The 24,027-nt window shown below is 53.5% G+C and overlaps 3 protein-coding genes, 1 long non-coding RNA gene and 1 pseudogene across 6 annotated transcripts; 4 read left to right on the top strand and 1 right to left on the bottom strand.

Annotated features, from left to right (window-relative positions):
- Positions 1–822: 822 nt before the first annotated feature.
- LOC105377800 (uncharacterized) lies at positions 823–23,710 on the bottom strand. 3 transcript variants are annotated; one of them, XR_001745779.1, is made up of 4 exons: positions 23,669–23,710; positions 16,411–16,545; positions 16,023–16,104; positions 8,304–8,454 (listed from the first exon to the last, which is right to left on the bottom strand). It is a non-coding gene; the product is annotated as an uncharacterized LOC105377800 (long non-coding RNA). The 3 variants fall into 3 exon arrangements; XR_001745781.3 differs by lacking the exons at positions 16,411–16,545; positions 23,669–23,710 and adding an exon at positions 823–1,253 and having other exon boundaries at positions 8,373–8,454; positions 16,023–16,100; XR_001745780.1 differs by lacking the exons at positions 8,304–8,454; positions 16,411–16,545; positions 23,669–23,710 and adding an exon at positions 8,461–8,897 and having other exon boundaries at positions 16,023–16,110.
- On the top strand, positions 2,300–5,309 carry FAM90A23 (family with sequence similarity 90 member A23). The gene is made up of 4 exons (NM_001397380.1): positions 2,300–2,422; positions 2,916–3,115; positions 3,574–3,682; positions 4,347–5,309. Exons 1-4 carry the CDS (start codon positions 2,300–2,302, stop codon positions 5,307–5,309), a joined length of 1,395 nt encoding a protein of 464 aa, NP_001384309.1.
- FAM90A22 (family with sequence similarity 90 member A22) lies at positions 9,947–12,958 on the top strand. Its single transcript, NM_001397382.1, has 4 exons — positions 9,947–10,069; positions 10,565–10,764; positions 11,223–11,331; positions 11,996–12,958. The coding sequence occupies exons 1-4, from the start codon at positions 9,947–9,949 to the stop codon at positions 12,956–12,958; spliced, it is 1,395 nt and encodes a 464-aa protein (NP_001384311.1).
- FAM90A21P (family with sequence similarity 90 member A21, pseudogene) lies at positions 15,934–21,165 on the top strand (annotated as a pseudogene).
- On the top strand, positions 17,593–20,603 carry LOC128966594 (putative protein FAM90A9P). The gene is given in 5 exon segments (NM_001421901.1): positions 17,593–17,715; positions 18,210–18,376; positions 18,378–18,410; positions 18,867–18,975; positions 19,641–20,603. Coding segments are annotated over 5 exon segments (1,395 nt in total).
- Positions 23,711–24,027: the final 317 nt, after the last annotated feature.

Here is a 24,027-nt window from a genome sequence, read left to right as displayed (position 1 = left end):
TCAACTCTCTGCTCCTCTGACAGCAGAAGGAGCAGGACCGTAAGGAACCAAAGAGCGTGGAAGGAAACGATGTGACAGGAAAGCTCAGAGAACGGCCACAGGGGGTCTTCAGCAGGCCTTCCAACCTGAATCATGAATAATTAATGGAGCGCAAATCAAAGGGGACTCGAGTTTCAGCAGGAGCAATTCATCCAACGGGAGATCGCCGGAGGGCCAACAAGATTGAGTGACTGGGAGCCGGGTGCAGTGTCAAAGGGGACGCGACTGGTTCCAAAGCTCGAGAAGACCATGGGGTCACTTGGGCTACATGAGAAAACGCCCCAGTGTGCTGGTTCATCATTCCGACTCCTGCCTGTCTCTTCCCGTCCAAGGAACATGGACCCTAAGTCGTGCAGGTGCGGATGACCATGGGCAGAATTAGGGGCCGTGGCACAAAAGTTCACCGACACGGGAGTTCCACAGAAGGTGCGGTGGATCTTCGCAAATCCAGAGACATGGCAATGGGACCCAGGGAATTAGAGCCTCACAGGCGTCCGGGAGACTTTTCAGGCATAATGCCTGGAGTCGCAAGACGAGCTGAAAAAGGAGCCAGGCACTGAAGGACAAAGCGTTGTTGACTTTCCTCATCTGTGTTTCCCAGTGCGGTCCAATTCACGGTTGTTTCCAAGCGCCTCCTGGGGGAGAAAACACAAGAGGGTGCGGTCAGGGTTCTCTGCTGACAGACTTAACTTGGGGAAGAAAGAGAAGCTCTGAAGATGGATCATGGCCGTGACTGCATGTCAAGGAGAGTCTCCTTGATGACACTGAGGCATACGTCGAGATAGACAAAATGTGGTCCAATTAAAAGGTGTCTATTTTACCACATTTTTTAAAACAAAACAAAACAAAACAACAAAAAAGATGGAAAAGAAGACAGGGGTACAGGCACCAGTGTTACATGTCTGACGGGGAACATCTATTGTTCAAAGCTTGCAGCTGTACAAGTAGGTTTTAGAATGTCTGTCAGCAGTGGACATGATCTTAGAGTGGGCTGTGCAGATAGACCTTTCCAGGTCATGTAATTGGATTAAGTTAATTGCAATTAAGGTACAGGTAACTGATTAGGTTAGGGTACGTTCCATGTCAGGTGACCAGAGGCAGTATAAAAGGCAGCCTGGAAAGCGGAGGTCCCTCTCTGCCCCTTCCTCCGTCGTCCTGGATGCTGCATCGCTTCCAGCCGGGCTGCTGCAGCACCTGCCCATCTCAGCGCCAGCCTGGGAAAGAAAGTAGACGTGTAATTTCAGGTTAGTTTCGCTGAACAATTGTTTGTTTCACGCAATCCCTGAGGGGTATTTGCGGGGGGTGTGGGGGAGGAAGAGACAAAGGAGGCCGAAAGAAACCGATCACACTGGGGCTTGCTGGTGGGGTAGGATGTGTTCTCGTTACTAGTAATTCTTGGAACAGAAAACGAGAAAACATATCCGTCTCCACGTGTGGGAGAAGACCAAGATGGGAATGCGAAAAGAAATGTACTGCAGCATGCTGAATTGGTGGGTAAATGGAAAAAGGACTTTGGAAAAAAGGGGGTTTTGCCCTTCAGCCGTGTAAGACGTCGATACGATACGGCACTTCTTCCCCGTTTGTTCAGATGAATTCGTGTGGTGTGCGTAAAATACCAGGAAAATAAATAAAGAGGGGCTGGAGCTAAAGCCAAAAGATAGAACAGGAAAGACCATCACCTGCTAGTGCGGTAGAGAGGAAGGTAACTTCTCTGTATGAATTTGTGTTTGGAAGTTGCCTAATGAAATGGCAAGAGTAGCGATTCAAGTTGTCACAGGAAGCATCCCTTATCCGTGACTTCAAGCAGACCTGCCAAAGGGTGGCACACGCCATGCCCTGTGTCTTCGATCATTCTGTCCGTCAAGGGAGATAGAATCACCGTGTCTTCTACCGGAGTGAATCGTGAGAGACCTAAGTCCAGTCTCCAGAATCAGTTGTTTGTTTGGGGTTGAAAGCTCAACCCCCCATACCTAGGCCACGGGCCCTGTGGCAGGTGGGGTTTACTCTTGGACTAGGTAGTCATGGCAGAGGAACACACAATATCCGAGGATGCGCACAGCACATTGTGTTCTACAGATTTGACCGACTGGTGGTGAGGTCTCCTCATGACCACACAGGCAGGGAGTTAGCAGGTGGCTTCCTGTGGGTGTGTGAATATCCAACGTGCTTAACCATCGACATGTGTGTGTTTGTGTGTGTTTCAGGTGGCCCAACAGTCCACCCCTGAAAAAGGCGGTCATAAAACCCCCAGGAGACGAAGATGATGGCACGTCGGGACCCCAAATCTTGGGCCAAGAGACTGGTGAGAGCCCAGACCCTCCAGAAGCAGCGGAGGGCCCCAGTTGGGCCAAGGTCTCCCCCGCCCGATGAAGAAGATCCCAGGGTAAGTCTAGCCCTGGATCTCTTGGGTATCGGGGTGGGGGTGGGGACGGGGGGAGGCGTGTCCCACGGTCCTCAGAGACTGGGTTGGATTCCAAAGAGTTCTGTCACCACCAGCCAGGTTGCTTTTCCCATCCAAGGTGGGCGTGGCTTGGGACCTTCTCCCCGGCCCGATAGGTCCCTTGAGAGACTCTTGGGGGCAACCTCCCTTTCTACTTAGGTTCCTGTGTAGCCACGTTTGGCTGCGTTGTTGACATCGGCTTCACCATCGTGCCCCTTGGAACCTTGAGTCCTTCCTTTCAGAGTTCCTCCGTCACATGGGCTTTGCGAGGGAACATCGTATCCGAAGTCTCCCAGCACTTAACGGCCCCCATGCCGGTGTCCCCTCTTTGGAATCCTTATTCAGCTCTGAATTCACAATCCGTCCCAATGTTGACGTGGGATCGCTGCCTGTGGCTTCAGCTCACTCACTGACATCACTTCCTTTCCACCCACAGCTCAAGTGCAAAAACTGCGGGGCCTTTGGCCACACGGCCAGAAGTACCAGGTGCCCCATGAAGTGCTGGAAGGCAGCCCTGGTTCCAGCGACCTTGGGGAAAAAGGAAGGGAAGGAAAACCTGAAACCATGGAAGCCCCGGGCTGAAGCCAACCCGGGGCCCTTGAACAAGGATAAGGGAGAGAAGGAAGAGAGACCAAGGTGAGCAGTGGGAGGGGTTTTCACCACTCTTAGGGTACGGCCTCCTAAGGACATGGTGTCTCTGCACCTGCACACCGTGTGCCTTTCCGTCTCCGGGCCAGGGAAGGAACGCTGCAGAGAAATAGGCCGGAGCTCCGTGTCCTCCGGGGTTCCATACCCAGGAGCTCCTTGGGCTCTGGGAGATTCAGGGACGGGGAGAGGCGGGGGCGCTTCGTGCAGGTTCCCCACGACAGCGGGAAAAGCGATGGAATCCAAATCACAGTCCTTAGTTGGGAAGCCTAGAGGGCCACCTGGAGGATGGGAAGGTTGGCACGTGAGGGAAGGTGCAGAGGCGGAAAGGGCACCAGATGTCCATTTCTGTATCACAAAACACGGAATGGGGCTGGGCCCCAGACGGGGTTCTCCCTGTCTCCTGGGGAAAACCAGGGGGCACGGCCTGACCTTCTTCTGTTCTGCAGGCAACAAGACCCGCAGAGGAAGGCTCTCCTCCACATGTTTTCCGGGAAACCTCCAGAGAAGCCGCTGCCGAATGGAAAAGGATCCACGGAATCTTCTGATTATCTGAGGGCGAGTGTCACCCCGGGCCCCTGGTCTTTTTCTCCTCTAGGTCACCCTGGTTGATTTCCTTTCAGCTTCCCGTCTGCGGGAGGAAATCGGGGAACCCCTCTTTCTTGCCTTCTTGGGGTCAGGGACTCCACGATCCTTCCAGGTCAATTGGATTCCAGGCGAAGGCATCTGAACATGCCGTATTTCCTGTTGCTTTCTTTCTGTCCAATTATGGCAAGCCTGCCAACAACACGTTCCTAGCGGCATGAGGAAATTAGTCCCTCAGAGGCCCCAAACGTGGAGAAGGCGAAACCCAGGAACATGCATGTGTTCAGAGAAGACGTCCCGAGTACCCTTGAGCCAGCAACCTGCCTTGGGAAGGGCATTAGTCCGTTCCACTTCATGGAAGGCTGAGTGGAGGCGCTTTGATCCAGTTAATGCCCAAGACGCGATCTTTTGAACAATGGTGTGCTTAGATCAGCTACACATAGCTCGAGAGCGCATCTTTCATGTGTCTTGTCCTGATCAGCACTCAGGTGGAGGGTCTGTCCCTACTTCCAAGGACCGCCTGTCGATACTGTACTAAGAATTTCATGGCGTGTGCACCTTGTCTTTGGATGTGCTTGATTTTCACGTTGGCTCCATGCTGAGGAACTTCTAACCTGTGTTGTTTCCTCTCTTTCAGGTTGCAAGCGGGCCAATGCCGGTCCACACAACCAGTAAGAGGCCGCGCTTGGACCCTGTCCTCGCTGATCGCTCCGCAACCGAAATGTCTGGCAGGGGCTCCGTCTTGGCTTCACTGTCTCCCCTCAGAAAAGCCAGCCTGAGCTCCTCCTCAAGTCTTGGACCAAAGGAAAGACAGACTGGGGCTGCGGCCGACATGCCTCAGCCTGCAGTCAGGCACCAGGGCCGCGAGCCTCTCCTCGTGGTGAAGCCGACACACAGCCGCCCCGAGGGTGGCTGCCGAGAAGTTCCCCAGGCTGCCTCCAAAACCCACGGCCTGCTCCAGGCCGCCAGACCCCAGGCACAAGACAAACGTCCTGCGGTGACCCCACAGCCCTGCCCGCCAGCCGCCACACACAGCTTGGGCCTAGGCTCCAATCTCAGCTTCGGGCCAGGAGCCAAGAGACCTGCCCAGGCTCCGATTCAGGCTTGCCTGAACTTCCCCAAGAAACCGAGACTGGGTCCCTTCCAGATCCCCGAAAGCGCCATCCAGGGAGGTGAGCTGGGGGCCCCGGAGAATCTCCAACCTCCGCCAGCCGCAACCGAACTTGGACCAAGTACGTCGCCCCAGATGGGCAGGAGGACACCGGCCCAGGTGCCCAGCGTCGACCGGCAGCCTCCGCACAGCAGACCTTGCCTGCCTACTGCCCAGGCCTGCACCATGTCCCATCACCCAGCGGCCAGCCATGATGGGGCCCAGCCTCTCAGAGTGCTCTTCCGGAGACTGGAAAACGGACGCTGGAGCTCCAGCCTCCTGGCGGCCCCCTCATTTCACTCTCCTGAGAAGCCGGGAGCCTTCCTCGCTCAGAGCCCTCATGTGTCAGAGAAGTCTGAGGCTCCCTGTGTTCGTGTCCCACCGAGCGTCCTCTATGAGGACCTTCAGGTTTCCTCCTCCTCAGAGGACAGCGATTCTGACCTGGAGTGAGACTGCAGGTGGCAGGGGCTCCTTGGCCTCCAGTTCCCGTGACTTGGAGGGGACTGTGGGACTGAGGAGCGCAGAGCAGAGAGCACACTCTGTGCGGTGACTCCGAAGCTCCCCGGCTGTGGCGCTTCTGTGGATGTGGGAGCCCAGGCCAGGCAGGGAGCAGATGCAGGGACTCTGCCTCATTGAATTCTGGTGAGGGACGTTGTAGTTGGCGTGGTTCTCCCGAAACGCGCCAGGAAAAGCTTCCGTGACAGAGATTCGTTGCCTCAGAAACTGCGTGACGCGCAGGAGTCAGACTTCCGCTGGGACGTCAATAGGAAACTGGGGAATTACTGTGTATTTGCTGTCTAGATGACTGAATAAGGGAAAAGTTAGGGAACCCTGAGAGGTGCAGCCCTTCCGCTGTGCCCCGCCCTGAGAGCAGTGTTTCGGACGCTGGTAAGCGTGCTGTGCGAAGCGCTCTCGGGGTCTTTCCTCAGCCTCGAAAACTGGGCTCTGGAATGCCTTTGTACATATGTGTGTTTAATGTGTTTTGAAGTGAATAAAATTCTCAAAAAGATGACATATTGTCTTTTGACTCTCATTCCGTGTTTGTGTGTAACTGATTTTCCAAGTGAAGGGGTGGCCTGCCCCTCCACACCTGTGGGTGTTTCTAGTCGGGTGGGATGAGAGACGGAGAAAAGAAATAAGACACAGAGACAAAGTATAGGGAGACAACAGTGGGTCCAGGGGACAGGCACTCAGCACACCTAGGACCTGCACCGGCACCGGCCTCTGAGTTCCCTCTGTTTTTATTGATTATGATTTTCATTATTTCAGCACAAAGGAATGCAGTAGGGGAGCAGGGTGATAATAAGGGGAAGGTCAACAACAACAACAAAAAACAAACACGTGAGCAAAAGAATCCATATCATTATTAAGTTCAAGGGAAGGTACTATGCCTGGACGTGCATGTAGGCCAGATTTATGTTTCTCTCCACACAAATATCTCAGCGGAGTAAAGAAAGCAAGGCAGCATTACTGCCAACATGTCTCACCTCCCGCCACAGGGCAGCTTTTCTCCGAGCTCAGAGTTGAACAAATGTACGATCGGGCTTTACACCGAGACATTCAGTTCCCAGGGGCAAGCAGGAGACAGTGGCCTTCCTCCATTTGAACTGCAAGAGGCGTTCCTCTTTGACTAATCCACCTCAGCACAGACCCATTGCGGGTGTCAGGCTGGGGGACATTCAGGACTTTCCCATCCCACGAGGTCATATTTCAGACTGTCACATGGGGAGAAACCTTGGACAATACCCTGCTTTCAAGGGCAGAGGTCCCTGTGGCTTTCCACGGTACATTGCGCCCCTGGTTTATTGAGACTAGAGAATGGCAATGACTTCTACCAAGTATACTGCTCGTAAACATTTGGTTAACAAGGCGCGTCCTGCACAGCCCTAGATCCCTTAAACCTCGATTTTATACAACACAGGTTTTTGTGAGCTCCAAGTTGGGTCAAAGGAAGGGGCTGCGGCAAAGCTACAAATGATCAACATCTCAGTAAAGCAATTGTTTAAAGTACAGGTCTTTTTCAAAATGGAGTCTCTTATGTCTTCCCCTTCTACATAGACACAGTGACAGTCTGATCTCTCTTTCTTTACCCTACATCCAAGGGCTTGAACATTTCTTGATTTGTTGGCAATCCAAATCGTTACGTCTCCAAAACAGAGTTGACTGAGGGGACCGCAGGGCTGGGCAGGACCTTTGACTTCCTATACATCCACAGGAGCAAGAAAACCTCAGCCCCACTCTACCAACACACACCTAGTAAAATTCCGCCAACCGAATCTCACGCACGCTAACACGTGGGGAGCGTTGCTTGCACCACGAGTCCCCATTTGGCTCAACCGCCGATGCCAAGTGTGTGGTTCCAGTTGCGACGGCCCCCCGTGAAGTGGCTTCCGGATGTGCGAAGGAACCAGGCAGAGTTTCACTGGCCAAATAGACCCCAGCAAAGCTGAAGTTAACTCCCACATTTGGGATGTACTTCAGAGGTAAAACATTCATCCCGTCTTCTTTCCGGATGTCTGACACCATGGTTCTCCCCCTGATCCTAAGAGTAGCTGAGGCAGAGACTCACTAAAAGATCTAGGCGGGGATATCCCATCATGCACAGGCTCTCTCCATTCTCTGACCTGGGAACAACTCTCAGTAAGATTCCACATCTAGGAGGCCTCGGAACTCAGCGGGATTTTCTGAGACACACCAACTGGCTGCTCCCTCTCCGCCGCTGTTGAGGGTCGTTATCTTGATTATCCAGATCAACTAGAAAGTATCCGTATCCAGAATGAATAAGATCAACTCTCTGCTCCTCTGACAGCAGAAGGAGCAGGACCGTAAGGAACCAAAGAGCGTGGAAGGAAACGATGTGACAGGAAAGCTCAGAGAACGGCCACAGGGGGTCGTCAGCAGGCCTTCCAACCTGAATCATGAATAATTAATGAAGGCAAATCAAAGGGGACTCGAGTTTCAGCAGGAGCATTTCATCCAACGGGAGATCGCCTGAGGGCCAACAAGATTGAGTGACTGGGAGCCGGGTGCAGTGTCAAAGGGGACGCGACTGGTTCCAAAGCTCGAGAAGACCATGGGGTCACTTGGGCTACATGAGAAAACGCCCCAGTGTGCTGGTTCATCATTCCGACTCCTGCCTGTCTCTTCCCGTCCAAGGAACATGGAACCTAAGTCGTGCAGGTGTGGATGACCATGGGCAGAATTAGGGGCCGTGGCACAAAAGTTCACCGACACGGGAGTTCCACAGAAGGTGCGGTGGATCTTCGCAAATCCAGAGACATGGCAATGGGACCCAGGGAATTAGAGCCTCACAGGCGTCCGGGAGACTTTTCAGGCATAATGCCTGGAGTCGCAAGACGAGCTGAAAAAGGAGCCAGGCACTGAAGGACAAAGCGTTGTTGACTTTCCTCATCTGTGTTTCCCAGTGTGGTCCAATTTACGGTGGTTTCCAAGCGCCTCCTGGGGGAGAAAACACATGAGGGTGCGGTCAGGGTTCTCTGCTGACAGACTTACCTTGGGGAAGAAAGAGAAGCTCTGAAGATGGATCATGGCCGTGACTGCATGTCAAGGAGAGTCTCCTTGATGACACTGAGGCCTACGTCGAGATAGACAAAATGTGGTCCAATTAAAAGGTGTCTATTTTACCACATTTTTTAAAACAAAACAAAACAAAACAACAAAAAAGATGGAAAAGAAGACAGGGGTACAGGCACCAGTGTTACATGTCTGACGGGGAACATCTATTGTTCAAAGCTTGCAGCTGTACAAGTAGGTTTTAGAATGTCTGTCAGCAGTGGACATGATCTTAGAGTGGGCTGTGCAGATAGACCTTTCCAGGTCATGTAATTGGATTAAGTTAATTGCAATTAAGGTACAGGTAACTGATTAGGTTAGGGTACGTTCCATGTCAGGTGACCAGAGGCAGTATAAAAGGCAGCCTGGAAAGCGGAGGTCCCTCTCTGCCCCTTCCTCCGTCGTCCTGGATGCTGCATCGCTTCCAGCCGGGCTGCTGCAGCACCTGCCCATCTCAGCGCCAGCCTGGGAAAGAAAGTAGACGTGTAATTTCAGGTTAGTTTCGCTGAACAATTGTTTGTTTCACGCAATCCCTGAGTGGTTTTGGCGGGGGGGGGGCGGGGGGAGGAAGAGACAAAGGAGGCCGAAAGAAACCGATCACACTGGGGCTTGCTGGTGGGGTAGGATGTGTTCTCGTTACTAGTAATTCTTGGAACAGAAAACGAGAAAACATATCCGTCTCCACGTGTGGGAGAAGACCAAGATGGGAATGCGAAAAGAAATGTACTGCAGCATGCTGAATTGGTGGGTAAATGGAAAAAGGACTTTGGAAAAAAGGGGGTTTTGCCCTTCAGCCGTGTAAGACGTCGATACGATACGGCACTTCTTCCCCGTTTGTTCAGATGAATTCGTGTGGTGTGCGTAAAATACCAGGAAAATAAATAAAGAGGGGCTGGAGCTAAAGCCAAAAGATAGAACAGGAAAGACCATCACCTGCTAGTGCGGTAGAGAGGAAGGTAACTTCTCTGTATGAATTTGTGTTTGGAAGTTGCCTAATGAAATGGCAAGAGTAGCGATTCAAGTTGTCACAGGAAGCATCCCTTATCCGTGACTTCAAGCAGACCTGCCAAAGGGTGGCACACGCCATGCCCTGTGTCTTCGATCATTCTGTCCGTCAAGGGAGATAGAATCACCGTGTCTTCTACCGGAGTGAATCGTGAGAGACCTAAGTCCAGTCTCCAGAATCAGTTGTTTGTTTGGGGTTGAAAGCTCAACCCCCCATACCTAGGCCACGGGCCCTGTGGCAGGTGGGGTTTACTCTTGGACTAGGTAGTCATGGCAGAGGAACACACAATATCCGAGGATGCGCACAGCACATTGTGTTCTACAGATTTGACCGACTGGTGGTGAGGTCTCCTCGTGACCACACAGGCAGGGAGTTAGCAGGTGGCTTCCTGTGGGTGTGTGAATATCCAACGTGCTTAACCATCGACATGTGTGTGTTTGTGTGTGTTTCAGGTGGCCCAACAGTCCACCCCTGAAAAAGGCGGTCATAAAACCCCCAGGAGACGAAGATGATGGCACGTCGGGACCCCAAATCTTGGGCCAAGAGACTGGTGAGAGCCCAGACCCTCCAGAAGCAGCGGAGGGCCCGAGTTGGGCCAAGGGCTCCCCCGCCCGATGAAGAAGATCCCAGGGTAAGTCTAGCCCTGGATCTCTTGGGTATCGGGGTGGGGGTGGGGACGGGGGGAAGGGGGTGTCCCACGGTCCTCAGAGACTGGGTTGGATTCCAAAGAGTTCTGTCACCACCAGCCAGGTTGCTTTTCCCATCCAAGGTGGGCGTGGCTTGGGACCTTCTCCCCGGCCCGATAGGTCCCTTGAGAGACTCTTGGGGGCAACCTCCCTTTCTACTTAGAGTCCTGTGTAGCCACGTTTGGCTGCGTTGTTGACATCGGCTTCACCATCGTGCCCCTTGGAACCTTGAGTCCTTCCTTTCAGAGTTCCTCCGTCACATGGGCTTTGCGAGGGAACATCGTATCCGAAGTCTCCCAGCACTTAACGGCCCCCATGCCGGTGTCCCCTCTTTGGAATCCTTATTCAGCTCTGAATTCACAATCCGTCCCAATGTTGACGTGGGATCGCTGCCTGTGGCTTCAGCTCACTCACTGACATCACTTCCTTTCCACCCACAGCTCAAGTGCAAAAACTGCGGGGCCTTTGGCCACACGGCCAGAAGTACCAGGTGCCCCATGAAGTGCTGGAAGGCAGCCCTGGTTCCAGCGACCTTGGGGAAAAAGGAAGGGAAGGAAAACCTGAAACCATGGAAGCCCCGGGCTGAAGCCAACCCGGGGCCCTTGAACAAGGATAAGGGAGAGAAGGAAGAGAGACCAAGGTGAGCAGTGGGAGGGGTTTTCACCACTCTTAGGGTACGGCCTCCTAAGGACATGGTGTCTCTGCACCTGCACACCGTGTGCCTTTCCGTCTCCGGGCCAGGGAAGGAACGCTGCAGAGAAATAGGCCGGAGCTCCGTGTCCTCCGGGGTTCCACACCCAGGAGCTCCTTGGGCTCTGGGAGATTCAGGGACGGGGAGAGGCGGGGGCGCTTCGTGCAGGTTCCCCACGACAGCGGGAAAAGCGATGGAATCCAAATCACAGTCCTTAGTTGGGAAGCCTAGAGGGCCACCTGGAGGATGGGAAGGTTGGCACGTGAGGGAAGGTGCAGAGGCGGAAAGGGCACCAGATGTCCATTTCTGTATCACAAAACACGGAATGGGGCTGGGCCCCAGACGGGGTTCTCCCTGTCTCCTGGGGAAAACCAGGGGGCACGGCCTGACCTTCTTCTGTTCTGCAGGCAACAAGACCCGCAGAGGAAGGCTCTCCTCCACATGTTTTCCGGGAAACCTCCAGAGAAGCCGCTGCCAAATGGAAAAGGATCCACGGAATCTTCTGATTATCTGAGGGCGAGTGTCACCCCGGGCCCCTGGTCTTTTTCTCCTCTAGGTCACCCTGGTTGATTTCCTTTCAGCTTCCCGTCTGCGGGAGGAAATCGGGGAACCCCTCTTTCTTGCCTTCTTGGGGTCAGGGACTCCACGATCCTTCCAGGTCAATTGGATTCCAGGCGAAGGCATCTGAACATGCCGTATTTCCTGTTGCTTTCTTTCTGTCCAATTATGGCAAGCCTGCCAACAACACGTTCCTAGCGGCATGAGGAAATTAGTCCCTCAGAGGCCCCAAACGTGGAGAAGGCGAAACCCAGGAACAGGCATGTGTTCAGAGAAGACGTCCCGAGTACCCTTGAGCCAGCAACCTGCCTTGGGAAGGGCATTAGTCCGTTCCACTTCATGGAAGGCTGAGTGGAGGCGCTTTGATCCAGTTAATGCCCAAGACGCGATCTTTTGAACAATGGTGTGCTTAGATCAGCTACACATAGCTCGAGAGCGCATCTTTCATGTGTCTTGTCCTGATCAGCACTCAGGTGGAGGGTCTGTCCCTACTTCCAAGGACCGCCTGTCGATACTGTACTAAGAATTTCATGGCGTGTGCACCTTGTCTTTGGATGTGCTTGATTTTCACGTTGGCTCCATGCTGAGGAACTTCTAACCTGTGTTGTTTCCTCTCTTTCAGGTTGCAAGCGGGCCAATGCCGGTCCACACAACCAGTAAGAGGCCGCGCTTGGACCCTGTCCTCGCTGATCGCTCCGCAACTGAAATGTCTGGCAGGGGCTCCGTCTTGGCTTCACTGTCTCCCCTCAGAAAAACCAGCCTGAGCTCCTCCTCAAGTCTTGGACCAAAGGAAAGACAGACTGGGGCTGCGGCCGACATGCCTCAGCCTGCAGTCAGGCACCAGGGCCCCGAGCCTCTTCTCGAGGTGAAGCCGACACACAGCCGCCCCGAGGGTGGCTGCCAAGAAGTTCCCCAGGCTGCCTCCAAAACCCACGGCCTGCTCCAGGCCTCCAGACCCCAGGCACAAGACAAACGTCCTGCGGTGACCCCACAGCCCTGCCCGCCAGCCGCCACACACAGCTTGGGCCTAGGCTCCAATCTCAGCTTCGGGCCAGGAGCCAAGAAACCTGCCCAGGCTCCGATTCAGGCTTGCCTGAACTTCCCCAAGAAACCGAGACTGGGTCCCTTCCAGATCCCCGAAAGCGCCATCCAGGGAGGTGAGCTGGGGGCCCCGGAGAATCTCCAACCTCCGCCAGCCGCAACCGAACTTGGACCAAGTACGTCGCCCCAGATGGGCAGGAGGACACCGGCCCAGGTGCCCAGCGTCGACAGGCAGCCTCCGCACAGCAGACCTTGCCTGCCCACTGCCCAGGCCTGCACCATGTCCCATCACTCAGCGGCCGGCCATGATGGGGCCCAGCCTCTCAGAGTGCTCTTCCGGAGACTGGAAAACGGACGCTGGAGCTCCAGCCTCCTGGCGGCCCCCTCATTTCACTCTCCTGAGAAGCCGGGAGCCTTCCTCGCTCAGAGCCCTCATGTGTCAGAGAAGTCTGAGGCTCCCTGTGTTCGTGTCCCACCGAGCGTCCTCTATGAGGACCTTCAGGTTTCCTCCTCCTCAGAGGACAGCGATTCTGACCTGGAGTGAGACTGCAGGTGGCAGGGGCTCCTTGGCCTCCAGTTCCCGTGACTTGGAGGGGACTGTGGGACTGAGGAGCGCAGAGCAGAGAGCACACTCTGTGCGGTGACTCCGAAGCTCCCCGGCTGTGGCGCTTCTGTGGATGTGGGAGCCCAGGCCAGGCAGGGAGCAGATGCAGGGACTCTGCCTCATTGAATTCTGGTGAGGGACGTTGTAGTTGGCGTGGTTCTCCCGAAACGCGCCAGGAAAAGCTTCCGTGACAGAGATTCGTTGCCTCAGAAACTGCGTGACGCGCAGGAGTCAGACTTCCGCTGGGACGTCAATAGGAAACTGGGGAATTACTGTGTATTTGCTGTCTAGATGACTGAATAAGGGAAAAGTTAGGGAACCCTGAGAGGTGCAGCCCTTCCGCTGTGCCCCGCCCTGAGAGCAGTGTTTCGGACGCTGGGAAGCGTGCTGTGCGAAGCGCTCTCGGGGTCTTTCCTCAGCCTCGGAAACTGGGCTCTGGAATGCCTTTGTACATATGTGTGTTTAATGTGTTTTGAAGTGAATAAAATTCTCAAAAAGATGACATATTGTCTTTTGACTCTCATTCCGTGTTTGTGTGTAACTGATTTTCCAAGTGAAGGGGTGGCCTGCCCCTCCACACCTGTGGGTGTTTCTAGTCGGGTGGGATGAGAGACGGAGAAAAGAAATAAGACACAGAGACAAAGTATAGGGAGACAACAGTGGGTCCAGGGGACAGGCACTCAGCACACCTAGGACCTGCACCGGCACCGGCCTCTGAGTTCCCTCTGTTTTTATTGATTATGATTTTCATTATTTCAGCACAAAGGAATGCAGTAGGGGAGCAGGGTGATAATAAGGGGAAGGTCAACAACAACAACAAAAAACAAACACGTGAGCAAAAGAATCCATATCATTATTAAGTTCAAGGGAAGGTACTATGCCTGGACGTGCACGTAGGCCAGATTTATGTTTCTCTCCACACAAATATCTCAGCGGAGTAAAGAAAGCAAGGCAGCATTACTGCCAACATGTCTCACCTCCCGCCACAGGGCAGCTTTTCTCCGAGCTCAGAGTTGAACAAATGTACGATCGGGCTTTACACCGAGACATTCAGTTCCCAGGGGCAAGCAGGAGACAGTGGCCTTCCTCCATTTGAACTGCAAGAGGCGTTCCTCTTTGACTAATCCACCTCAGCACAGACCCATTGCGGGTGTCAGGCTGGGGGACATTCAGGACTTTCCCATCCCACGAGGCCATATTTCAGACTGTCACATGGGGAGAAACCTTGGACAATACCCTGCTTTCAAGGGCAGAGGTCCCTGTGGCTTTCCACGGTACATTGCGCCCCTGGTTTATTGAGACTAGAGAATGGCAATGACTTCTACCAAGTATACTGCTCGTAAACATTTGGTTAACAAGGCGCGTCCTGCACAGCCCTAGATCCCTTAAACCTCGATTTTATACAACACAGGTTTTTGTGAGCTCCAAGTTGGGTCAAAGGAAGGGGCTGCGGCAAAGCTACAAATGATCAACATCTCAGTGAAGCAATTGTTTAAAGTACAGGTCTTTTTCAAAATGGAGTCTCTTATGTCTTCCCCTTCTACATAGACACAGTGACAGTCCGATCTCTCTTTCTTTACCCTACATCCAAGGGCTTGAACATTTCTTGATTTGTTGGCAATCCAAATCGTTACCTCTCCGAAACAGAGTTGACTGAGGGGACCGCAGGGCTGGGCAGGACCTTTGACTTCCTATACATCCACAGGAGCAAGAAAACCTCAGCCCCACTCTACCAACACGCACCTAGTAAAATTCCGCCAACCGAATCTCACGCACGCTAACACGTGGGGAGCGTTGCTTGCACCACGAGTCCCCATTTGGCTCAACCGCCGATGCCAAGTGTGTGGTTCCAGTTGCGACGGCCCCCCGTGAAGTGGCTTCCGGATGTGCGAAGGAACCAGGCAGAGTTTCACTGGCCAAATAGACCCCAGCAAAGCTGAAGTTAACTCCCACATTTGGGATGTACTTCAGAGGTAAAACATTCATCCCGTCTTCTTTCCGGATGTCTGACACCATGGTTCTCCCCCTGATCCTAAGAGTAGCTGAGGCAGAGACTCACTAAAAGATCTAGGCGGGGATATCCCATCATGCACAGGCTCTCTCCATTCTCTGACCTGGGACCAACTCTCAGCAGGATTCCACATCTAGGAGGCCTCGGAACTCAGCGGGATTTTCTGAGACACACCAACTGGCTGCTCCCTTTCCGCCGCTGTTGAGGGTCGTTATCTTGATTATCCAGATCACCTAGAAAGTATCCGTATCCAGAATGAATAAGATCAACTCTCTGCTCCTCTGACAGCAGAAGGAGCAGGACCATAAGGAACCAAAGAGCGTGGAAGGAAACGATGTGACAGGAAAGCTCAGAGAACGGCCACAGGGGGTCGTCAGCAGGCCTTCCAACCTGAATCATGAATAATTAATGAAGCGCAAATCAAAGGGGACTCGAGTTTCAGCAGGAGCAATTCATCCAACGGGAGATCGCCGGAGGGCCAACAAGATTGAGAGACTGGGAGCCGGGTGCAGTGTCAAAGGGGACGCGACTGGTTCCAAAGCTCGAGAAGACCATGGGGTCACTTGGGCTACATGAGAAAACGCCCCAGTGTGCTGGTTCATCATTCCGACTCCTGCCTGTCTCTTCCCGTCCAAGGAACATGGACCCTAAGTCGTGCAGGTGCGGATGACCATGGGCAGAATTAGGGGCCGTGGCACTAAAGTTCACCGACACGGGAGTTCCACAGAAGGTGCGGTGGATCTTCGCAAATCCAGAGACATGGCAATGGGACCCAGGGAATTAGAGCCTCACAGGCGTCCGGGAGACTTTTCAGGCATAATGCCTGGAGTCGCAAGAGGAGCTGAAAAAGGAGCCAGGCACTGAAGGACAAAGCGTTGTTGACTTTCCTCATCTGTGTTTCCCAGTGCGGTCCAATTCACGGTGGTTTCCAAGCGCCTCCTGGGGGAGAAAACACATGAGGGTGCGGTCAGGGTTCTCTGCTGACAGACTTACCTTGGGGAAGAAAGAGAAGCTCTGAAGATGGATCATGGCCGTGACTGCATGTCAAGGAGAGTCTCCTTGATGACACTGAGGCCTACGTCGAGATAGACAAAATGTGGTCCAATTAAAAGGTGTCTATTTTACCACATTTTTTAAAACAAAACAAAACTAAACGACAAAAAAGATGGAAAAGAAGACGGGTACAGGCACCAGTGTTACATGTCTGACGGGGAACATCTATTGTTCAAAGCTTGCAGCTGTACAAGTAGGTTTTAGAATGTCTGTCAGCAGTGGACATGATCTTAGAGTGGGCTGTGCAGATAGACCTTTCCAGGTCATGTAATTGGATTAAGTTAATTGCAATTAAGGTACAGGTAACTGATTAGGTTAGGGTACGTTCCATGTCAGGTGACCAGAGGCAGTATAAAAGGCAGCCTGGAAAGCGGAGGTCCCTCTCTGCCCCTTCCTCCGTCGTCCTGGATGCTGCATCGCTTCCAGCCGGGCTGCTGCAGCACCTGCCCATCTCAGCGCCAGCCTGGGAAAGAAAGTAGACGTGTAATTTCAGGTTAGTTTCGCTGAACAATTGTTTGTTTCACGCAATCCCTGAGTGGTTTTGGCGGGGGGGGGGCGGGGGGAGGAAGAGACAAAGGAGGAAAGAAACCGATCACACTGGGGCTTGGTGGTGGGGTAGGATGTGTTCTCGTTACTAGTAATTCTTGGAACAGAAAACGAGAAAACATATCCGTCTCCACGTGTGGGAGAAGACCAAGATGGGAATGCGAAAAGAAATGTACTGCAGCATGCTGAATTGGTGGGTAAATGGAAAAAGGACTTTGGAAAAAAGGGGGTTTTGCCCTTCAGCCGTGTAAGACGTCGATACGATACGGCACTTCTTCCCCCGTTTGTTCAGATGAATTCGTGTGGTGTGCGTAAAATACCAGGAAAATAAATAAAGAGGGGCTGGAGCTAAAGCCAAAAGATAGAACAGGAAAGACCATCACCTGCTAGTGCGGTAGAGAGGAAGGTAACTTCTCTGTATGAATTTGTGTTTGGAAGTTGCCTAATGAAATGGCAAGAGTAGCGATTCAAGTTGTCACAGGAAGCATCCCTTATCCGTGACTTCAAGCAGACCTGCCAAAGGGTGGCACACGCCATGCCCTGTGTCTTCGATCATTCTGTCCGTCAAGGGAGATAGAATCACCGTGTCTTCTACCGGAGTGAATCGTGAGAGACCTAAGTCCAGTCTCCAGAATCAGTTGTTTGTTTGGGGTTGAAAGCTCAACCCCCCATACCTAGGCCACGGGCCCTGTGGCAGGTGGGGTTTACTCTTGGACTAGGTAGTCATGGCAGAGGAACACACAATATCCGAGGATGCGCACAGCACATTGTGTTCTACAGATTTGACCGACTGGTGGTGAGGTCTCCTCATGACCACACAGGCAGGGAGTTAGCAGGTGGCTTCCTGTGGGTGTGTGAATATCCAACGTGCTTAACCATCGACATGTGTGTGTTTGTGTGTGTTTCAGGTGGCCCAACAGTCCACCCCTGAAAAAGGCGGTCATAAAACCCCCAGGAGACGAAGATGATGGCACGTCGGGACCCCAAATCTTGGGCCAAGAGACTGGTGAGAGCCCAGACCCTCCAGAAGCAGCGGAGGGCCCCAGTTGGGCCAAGGTCTCCCCCGCCCGATGAAGAAGATCCCAGGGTAAGTCTAGCCCTGGATCTCTTGGGTATCGGGGTGGGGGTGGGGACGGGGGGAGGCGGTGTCCCACGGTCCTCAGAGACTGGGTTGGATTCCAAAGAGTTCTGTCACCACCAGCCAGGTTGCTTTTCCCATCCAAGGTGGGCGTGGCTTGGGACCTTCTCCCCGGCCCGATAGGTCCCTTGAGAGACTCTTGGGGGCAACCTCCCTTTCTACTTCGAGTCCTGTGTAGCCACGTTTGGCTGCGTTGTTGACATCGGCTTCACCATCGTGCCCCTTGGAACCTTGAGTCCTTCCTTTCAGAGTTACTCCGTCACAAGGGCTTTGCGAGGGAACATCGTATCCGAACTCTCCCAGCACTTAACGGCCCCCATGCCGGTGTCCCCTCTTCGGAATCCTTATTCAGCTCTGAATTCACAATCCGTCCCAATGTTGACGTGGGATCGCTGCCTGTGGCTTCAGCTCACTCACTGACATCACTTCCTTTCCACCCACAGCTCAAGTGCAAAAACTGCGGGGCCTTTGGCCACACGGCCAGAAGTACCAGGTGCCCCATGAAGTGCTGGAAGGCAGCCCTGGTTCCAGCGACCTGGGGAAAAAAGGAAGGGAAGGAAAACCTGAAACCATGGAAGCCCCGGGCTGAAGCCAACCCGGGGGCCCTGAAACAAGGATAAGGGAGAGAAGGAAGAGAGACCAAGGTGAGCAGTGGGAGGGTTTCACCACTCTTAGGGTGCTGCCTCCTAAGGAGATGGTGTCTCTGCACCTGCACACCGTGTGCCTTTCCGTCTCCGGGCCAGGGAAGGAGCGCTGCAGAGAAATAGGCCGGAGCTCCGTGTCCTCCGGGGTTCCACACCCAGGAGCTCCTTGGGCTCTGGGAGATTCAGGGACGGGGAGAGGCGGGGGCGCTTCGTGCAGGTTCCCCACGACAGCGGGAAAAGCGATGGAATCCAAATCACAGTCCTTAGTCGGGAAGCCTAGAGGGCCACCTGGAGGATGGGAAGGTTGGCACGTGAGGGAAGGTGCAGAGGCGGAAAGGGCACCAGATGTCCATTTCTGTATCACAAAACACGGAATGGGGCTGGGCCCCAGACGGGGTTCTCCCTGTCTCCTGGGGAAAACCAGGGGGCACCGCCTGACCTTTTTCTGTTCTGCAGGCAACAAGACCCGCAGAGGAAGGCTCTCCTCCACATGTTTTCCGGGAAACCTCCAGAGAAGCCGCTGCCGAATGGAAAAGGATCCACGGAATCTTCTGAGCATCTGAGGGTGAGTGTCACCCCGGGCCCCTGGTCCTTTTCTCCTCTAGGTCACCCTGGTTGATTTCCTTTCAGCTTCCCGTCTGTGGGAGGAAATCGGGGAACCCCTCTTTCTTGCCTTCTTGGGGTCAGGGACTCCACAATCCTTCCAGGTCAATTGGATTCCAGGCGAAGGCATCTGAAGATGCCGTATTTCCTGTGGCTTTCTTTCTGTCCAATTATGGCAAGCCTGCCAACAACACGTTCCTAGCGGCATGAGGAAATTAGTCCCTCAGAGGCCCCAAACGTGGAGAAGGCTAAACCCAGGAACATGCATGTGTTCAGAGAAGACGTCCCGAGTACCCTTGAGCCACCAACCTGCCTCGGGAAGGGCATTAGTCCGTTCCACTTCATGGAAGGCTGAGTGGAGGCGCTTTGATCCAGTTAATGCCCAAGACGCGATCTTTTGAACAATGGTGTGCTTAGATCAGCTACACATAGCTCGAGAGCGCACCTTTCATGTGTCTTGTCCTGATCAGCACTCAGGTGGAGGGATCTGTCCCTACTTCCAAGGACCGCCTGTCGATACTGTACTAAGAATTTCATGGCGTGTGCACCTTGTCTTTGGATATGTTTGATTTTCACGTTGGCTCCATGCCGTGGAACTTCTAACCTGTGTTGTTTCCTCTCTTTCAGGTTGCAAGCGGGCCAATGCCGGTCCACACAACCAGTAAGAGGCCGCGCGTGGACCCTGTCCTCGCTGATCGCTCAGCTACCGAAATGTCTGGCAGGGGCTCCGTCTTGGCTTCACTGTCTCCCCTCAGAAAAGCCAGCCTGAGCTCCTCCTCAAGTCTTGGACCAAAGGAAAGACAGACAGGGGCTGCGGCCGACATCCCTCAGCCTGCATTCAGGCACCAGGGCCCCGAGCCTCTCCTCGTGGTGAAGCCGACACACAGCAGCCCTGAGGGTGGCTGCCGAGAAGTTCCCCAGGCTGCCTCCAAAACCCACGGCCTGCTCCAGGCCGTCAGACCCCAGGCACAAGACAAACGTCCTGCGGTGACCTCACAGCCCTGCCCGCCAGCCGCCACACACAGCTTGGGCCTAGGCTCCAATCTCAGCTTCGGGCCAGGAGCCAAGAGACCTGCCCAGGCTCCGATTCAGGCTTGCCTGAACTTCCCCAAGAAACCGAGACTGGGTCCCTTCCAGATCCCCGAAAGCGCCATCCAGGGAGGTGAGCTGCGGGCCCCGGAGAATCTCCAACCTCCGCCAGCCGCAACCGAACTTGGACCAAGTACGTCGCCCCAGATGGGCAGGAGGACACCGGCCCAGGTGCCCAGCGTCGACCGGCAGCCTCCGCACAGCACACCTTGCCTGCCTACTGCCCAGGCCTGCACCATGTCCCATCACCCAGCGGCCGGCCATGATGGGGCCCAGCCTCTCAGAGTGCTCTTCCGGAGACTGGAAAACGGACGCTGGAGCTCCAGCCTCCTGGCCGCCCCCTCATTTCACTCTCCTGAGAAGCCGGGAGCCTTCCTCGCTCAGAGCCCTCATGTGTCAGAGAAGTCTGAGGCTCCCTGTGTTCGTGTCCCACCGAGCGTCCTCTATGAGGACCTTCAGGTTTCCTCCTCCTCAGAGGACAGCGATTCTGACCTGGAGTGAGACTGCAGGTGGCAGGGGCTCCTTGGCCTCCAGCTCCCGTGACTTGGAGGGGACTGTGGGACTGAGGAGCGCAGAGCAGAGAGCACACTCTGTGCGGTGACTCCGAAGCTCCCCGGCTGTGGCGCTTCTGTGGATGTGGGAGCCCAGGCCAGGCAGGGAGCAGATGCAGGGACTCTGCCTCATTGAATTCTGGTGAGGGACGTTGTAGTTGGCGTGGTTCTCCCGAAACGCGCCAGGAAAAGCTTCCGTGCCAGAGATTCGTTGCCTCAGAAACTGCGTGACGCGCAGGAGTCAGACTTCCGCTGGGACGTCAATAGGAAACTGGGGAATTACTGTGTATTTGCTGTCTAGATGACTGAATAAGGGAAAAGTTAGGGAACCCTGAGAGGTGCAGCCCTTCCGCTGTGCCCCGCCCTGAGAGCAGTGTTTCGGACGCTGGGAAGCGTGCTGTGCGAAGCGCTCTCGGGGTCTTTCCTCAGCCTCGAAAACTGGGCTCTGGAATGCCTTTGTACATATGTGTGTTTAATGTGTTTTGAAGTGAATAAAATTCTCAAAAAGATGACATATTGTCTTTTGACTCTCATTCCGTGTTTGTGTGTAACTGATTTTCCAAGTGAAGGGGTGGCCCGCCCCTCCACACCTGTGGGTGTTTCTAGTCGGGTGGGATGAGAGACGGAGAAAAGAAATCAGACACAGAGACAAAGTATAGGGAGACAACAGTGGGTCCAGGGGACAGGCACTCAGCACACCTAGGACCTGCACCGGCACCGGCCTCTGAGTTCCCTCAGTTTTTATTGATTATGATTTTCATTATTTCAGCACAAAGGAATGCAGTAGGGGAGCAGGGTGATAATAAGGGGAAGGTCAACAACAACAACAAAAAACAAACACGTGAGCAAAAGAATCCATATCATTATTAAGTTCAAGGGAAGGTACTATGCCTGGACGTGCACGTAGGCCAGATTTATGTTTCTCTCCACACAAATATCTCAGCGGAGTAAAGAATAACAAGGCAGCATTACTGCCAGCATGTCTCGCCTCCCGCCACAGGGCAGCTTTTCGCCGAGCTCAGAGTTGAACAAATGTACGATCGGGCTTTACACCGAGACATTCAGTTCCCAGGGGCAAGCAGGAGACAGTGGCCTTCCTCCATCTGAATTGCAAGAGGCGTTCCTCTTTGACTAATCCACCTCAGCACAGACCCATTGCGGGTGTCAGGCTGGGGGACATTCAGGACTTTCCCATCCCACGAGGCCATATTTCAGACTGTCACATGGGGAGAAACCTTGGACAATACCCTGCTTTCAAGGGCAGAGGTCCCTGTGGCTTTCCACGGTGCATTGCGCCCCTGGTTTATTGAGACTAGGGAATGGCAATGACTCCTACCAAGGATACTGCTCGTAAACATTTGGTTAACAAGGCGCGTCCTGCACAGCCCTAGATCCCTTAAACCTCGATTTTATACAACACAGGTTTTTGTGAGCTCCAAGTTGGGTCAAAGGAAGGGGCTGCGGCAAAGCTACAAATGATCAACATCTCAGCAAAGCAATTGTTTAAACTACAGGTCTTTTTCAAAATGGAGTCTCTTATGTCTTCCCCTTCTACATAGACACAGTGACAGTCTGATCTCTCTTTCTTTACCCTACATCCAAGGGCTTGAACATTTCTTGACTTGTTGGCAATCCAAATCGTTACGTCTCCGAAACAGAGTTGACTGAGGGGACCGCAGGGCTGGGCAGGACCTTTGACTTCCTATACATCCACAGGAGCAAGAAAACCTCAGCCCCACTCTACCAACACGCACCTAGTAAAATTCCGCCAACCGCATCTCACGCACGCTAACACGTGGGGAGCGTTGCTTGCACCACGAGTCCCCATTTGGCTCAACCGCCGATGCCAAGTGTGTGGTTCCAGTTGCGACGGCCCCCCGTGAAGTGGCTTCCGGATGTGCGAATGAACCAGGCAGCGTTTCACTGGCCAAATAGACCCCAGCAAAGCTGAAGTTAACTCCCACATTTGGGATGTACCTCAGAGGTAAAACATTCATCCCGTCTTCTTTCTGGATGTCTGACACCATGGTTCTCCCCCTGATCCTAAGAGTAGCTGAGGCAGAGACTCACTGAAAGATCTAGGCGGGGATATCCCATCATGCACAGGCTCTCTCCATTCTCTGACCTGGGAACAACTCTCAGCAGGATTCCACATCTAGGAGGCCTCGGAACTCAGTGGGATTTTCTGAGACACACCAACTGGCTGCTCCCTCTCCGCCGCTGTTGTGGGTCGTTATCTTGATTATCCAGATCAACTAGAAAGTATCCGTATCCAGAATGAATAAGATCAACTCTCTGCTCCTCTGACAGCAGAAGGAGCAGGACCATAAGGAACCAAAGAGCGTGGAAGGAAACGATGTGACAGGAAAGCTCAGAGAACGGCCACAGGGGGTCGTCAGCAGGCCTTCCAACCTGAATCATGAATAATTAATGAAGCGCAAATCAAAGGGGACTCGAGTTTCAGCAGGAGCAATTCATCCAACGGGAGATCGCCGGAGGGCCAACAAGATTGAGAGACTGGGAGCCGGGTGCAGTGTCAAAGGGGACGCGACTGGTTCCAAAGCTCGAGAAGACCATGGGGTCACTTGGGCTACATGAGAAAATGCCCCAGTGTGCTGGTTCATCATTCCGACTCCTGCCTGTCTCTTCCCGTCCAAGGAACATGGACCCTAAGTCGTGCAGGTGCGGATGACCATGGGCAGAATTAGGGGCCGTGGCACTAAAGTTCACCGACACGGGAGTTCCACAGAAGGTGCGGTGGATCTTCGCAAATCCAGAGACATGGCAATGGGACCCAGGGAATTAGAGCCTCACAGGCGTCCGGGAGACTTTTCAGGCATAATGCCTGGAGTCGCAAGAGGAGCTGAAAAAGGAGCCAGGCACTGAAGGACAAAGCGTTGTTGACTTTCCTCATCTGTGTTTCCCAGTGCGGTCCAATTCACGGTGGTTTCCAAGCGCCTCCTGGGGGAGAAAACACATGAGGGTGCGGTCAGGGTTCTCTGCTGACAGACTTACCTTGGGGAAGAAAGAGAAGCTCTGAAGATGGATCATGGCCGTGACTGCACGTCAAGGAGAGTCTCCTTGATGACACTGAGGCCTACGTCGAGATAGACAAAATGTGGTCCAATTAAAAGGTGTCTATTTTACCACATTTTTTAAAACAAAACAAAACTAAACGACAAAAAAGATGGAAAAGAAGACGGGTACAGGCACCAGTGTTACATGTCTGACGGGGAACATCTATTGTTCAAAGCTTGCAGCTGTACAAGTAGGTTTTAGAATGTCTGTCAGCAGTGGACAGGATCTTAGAGTGGGCTGTGCAGATAGACCTTTCCAGGTCATGTAATTGGATTAAGTTAATTGCAATTAAGGTA

The sequence above is a fragment of the Homo sapiens genome, chromosome 8, assembly GCF_000001405.40.
Source record: "Homo sapiens chromosome 8, GRCh38.p14 Primary Assembly".
NCBI classification, from domain to species: Eukaryota; Metazoa; Chordata; class Mammalia; order Primates; family Hominidae; genus Homo; species Homo sapiens.
This window is presented reverse-complemented; position numbering and strand designations above follow the sequence as displayed.

Coding starts and splice junctions, on each gene's coding strand:
- FAM90A23 (NM_001397380.1), top strand. CDS start 2,300: ATGATGGCACGTCGGGACCCCAAATCTTGGGCCAAGAGACTGGTGAGA. Junction 2,423..2,915: donor CCGATGAAGAAGATCCCAGG/GTAAGTCTAGCC, acceptor TTCCACCCACAG/CTCAAGTGCAAAAACTGCGG. Junction 3,683..4,346: donor AATCTTCTGATTATCTGAGG/GCGAGTGTCACC, acceptor CCTCTCTTTCAG/GTTGCAAGCGGGCCAATGCC.
- FAM90A22 (NM_001397382.1), top strand. CDS start 9,947: ATGATGGCACGTCGGGACCCCAAATCTTGGGCCAAGAGACTGGTGAGA. Junction 10,765..11,222: donor GAGAAGGAAGAGAGACCAAG/GTGAGCAGTGGG, acceptor TCTGTTCTGCAG/GCAACAAGACCCGCAGAGGA. Junction 11,332..11,995: donor AATCTTCTGATTATCTGAGG/GCGAGTGTCACC, acceptor CCTCTCTTTCAG/GTTGCAAGCGGGCCAATGCC.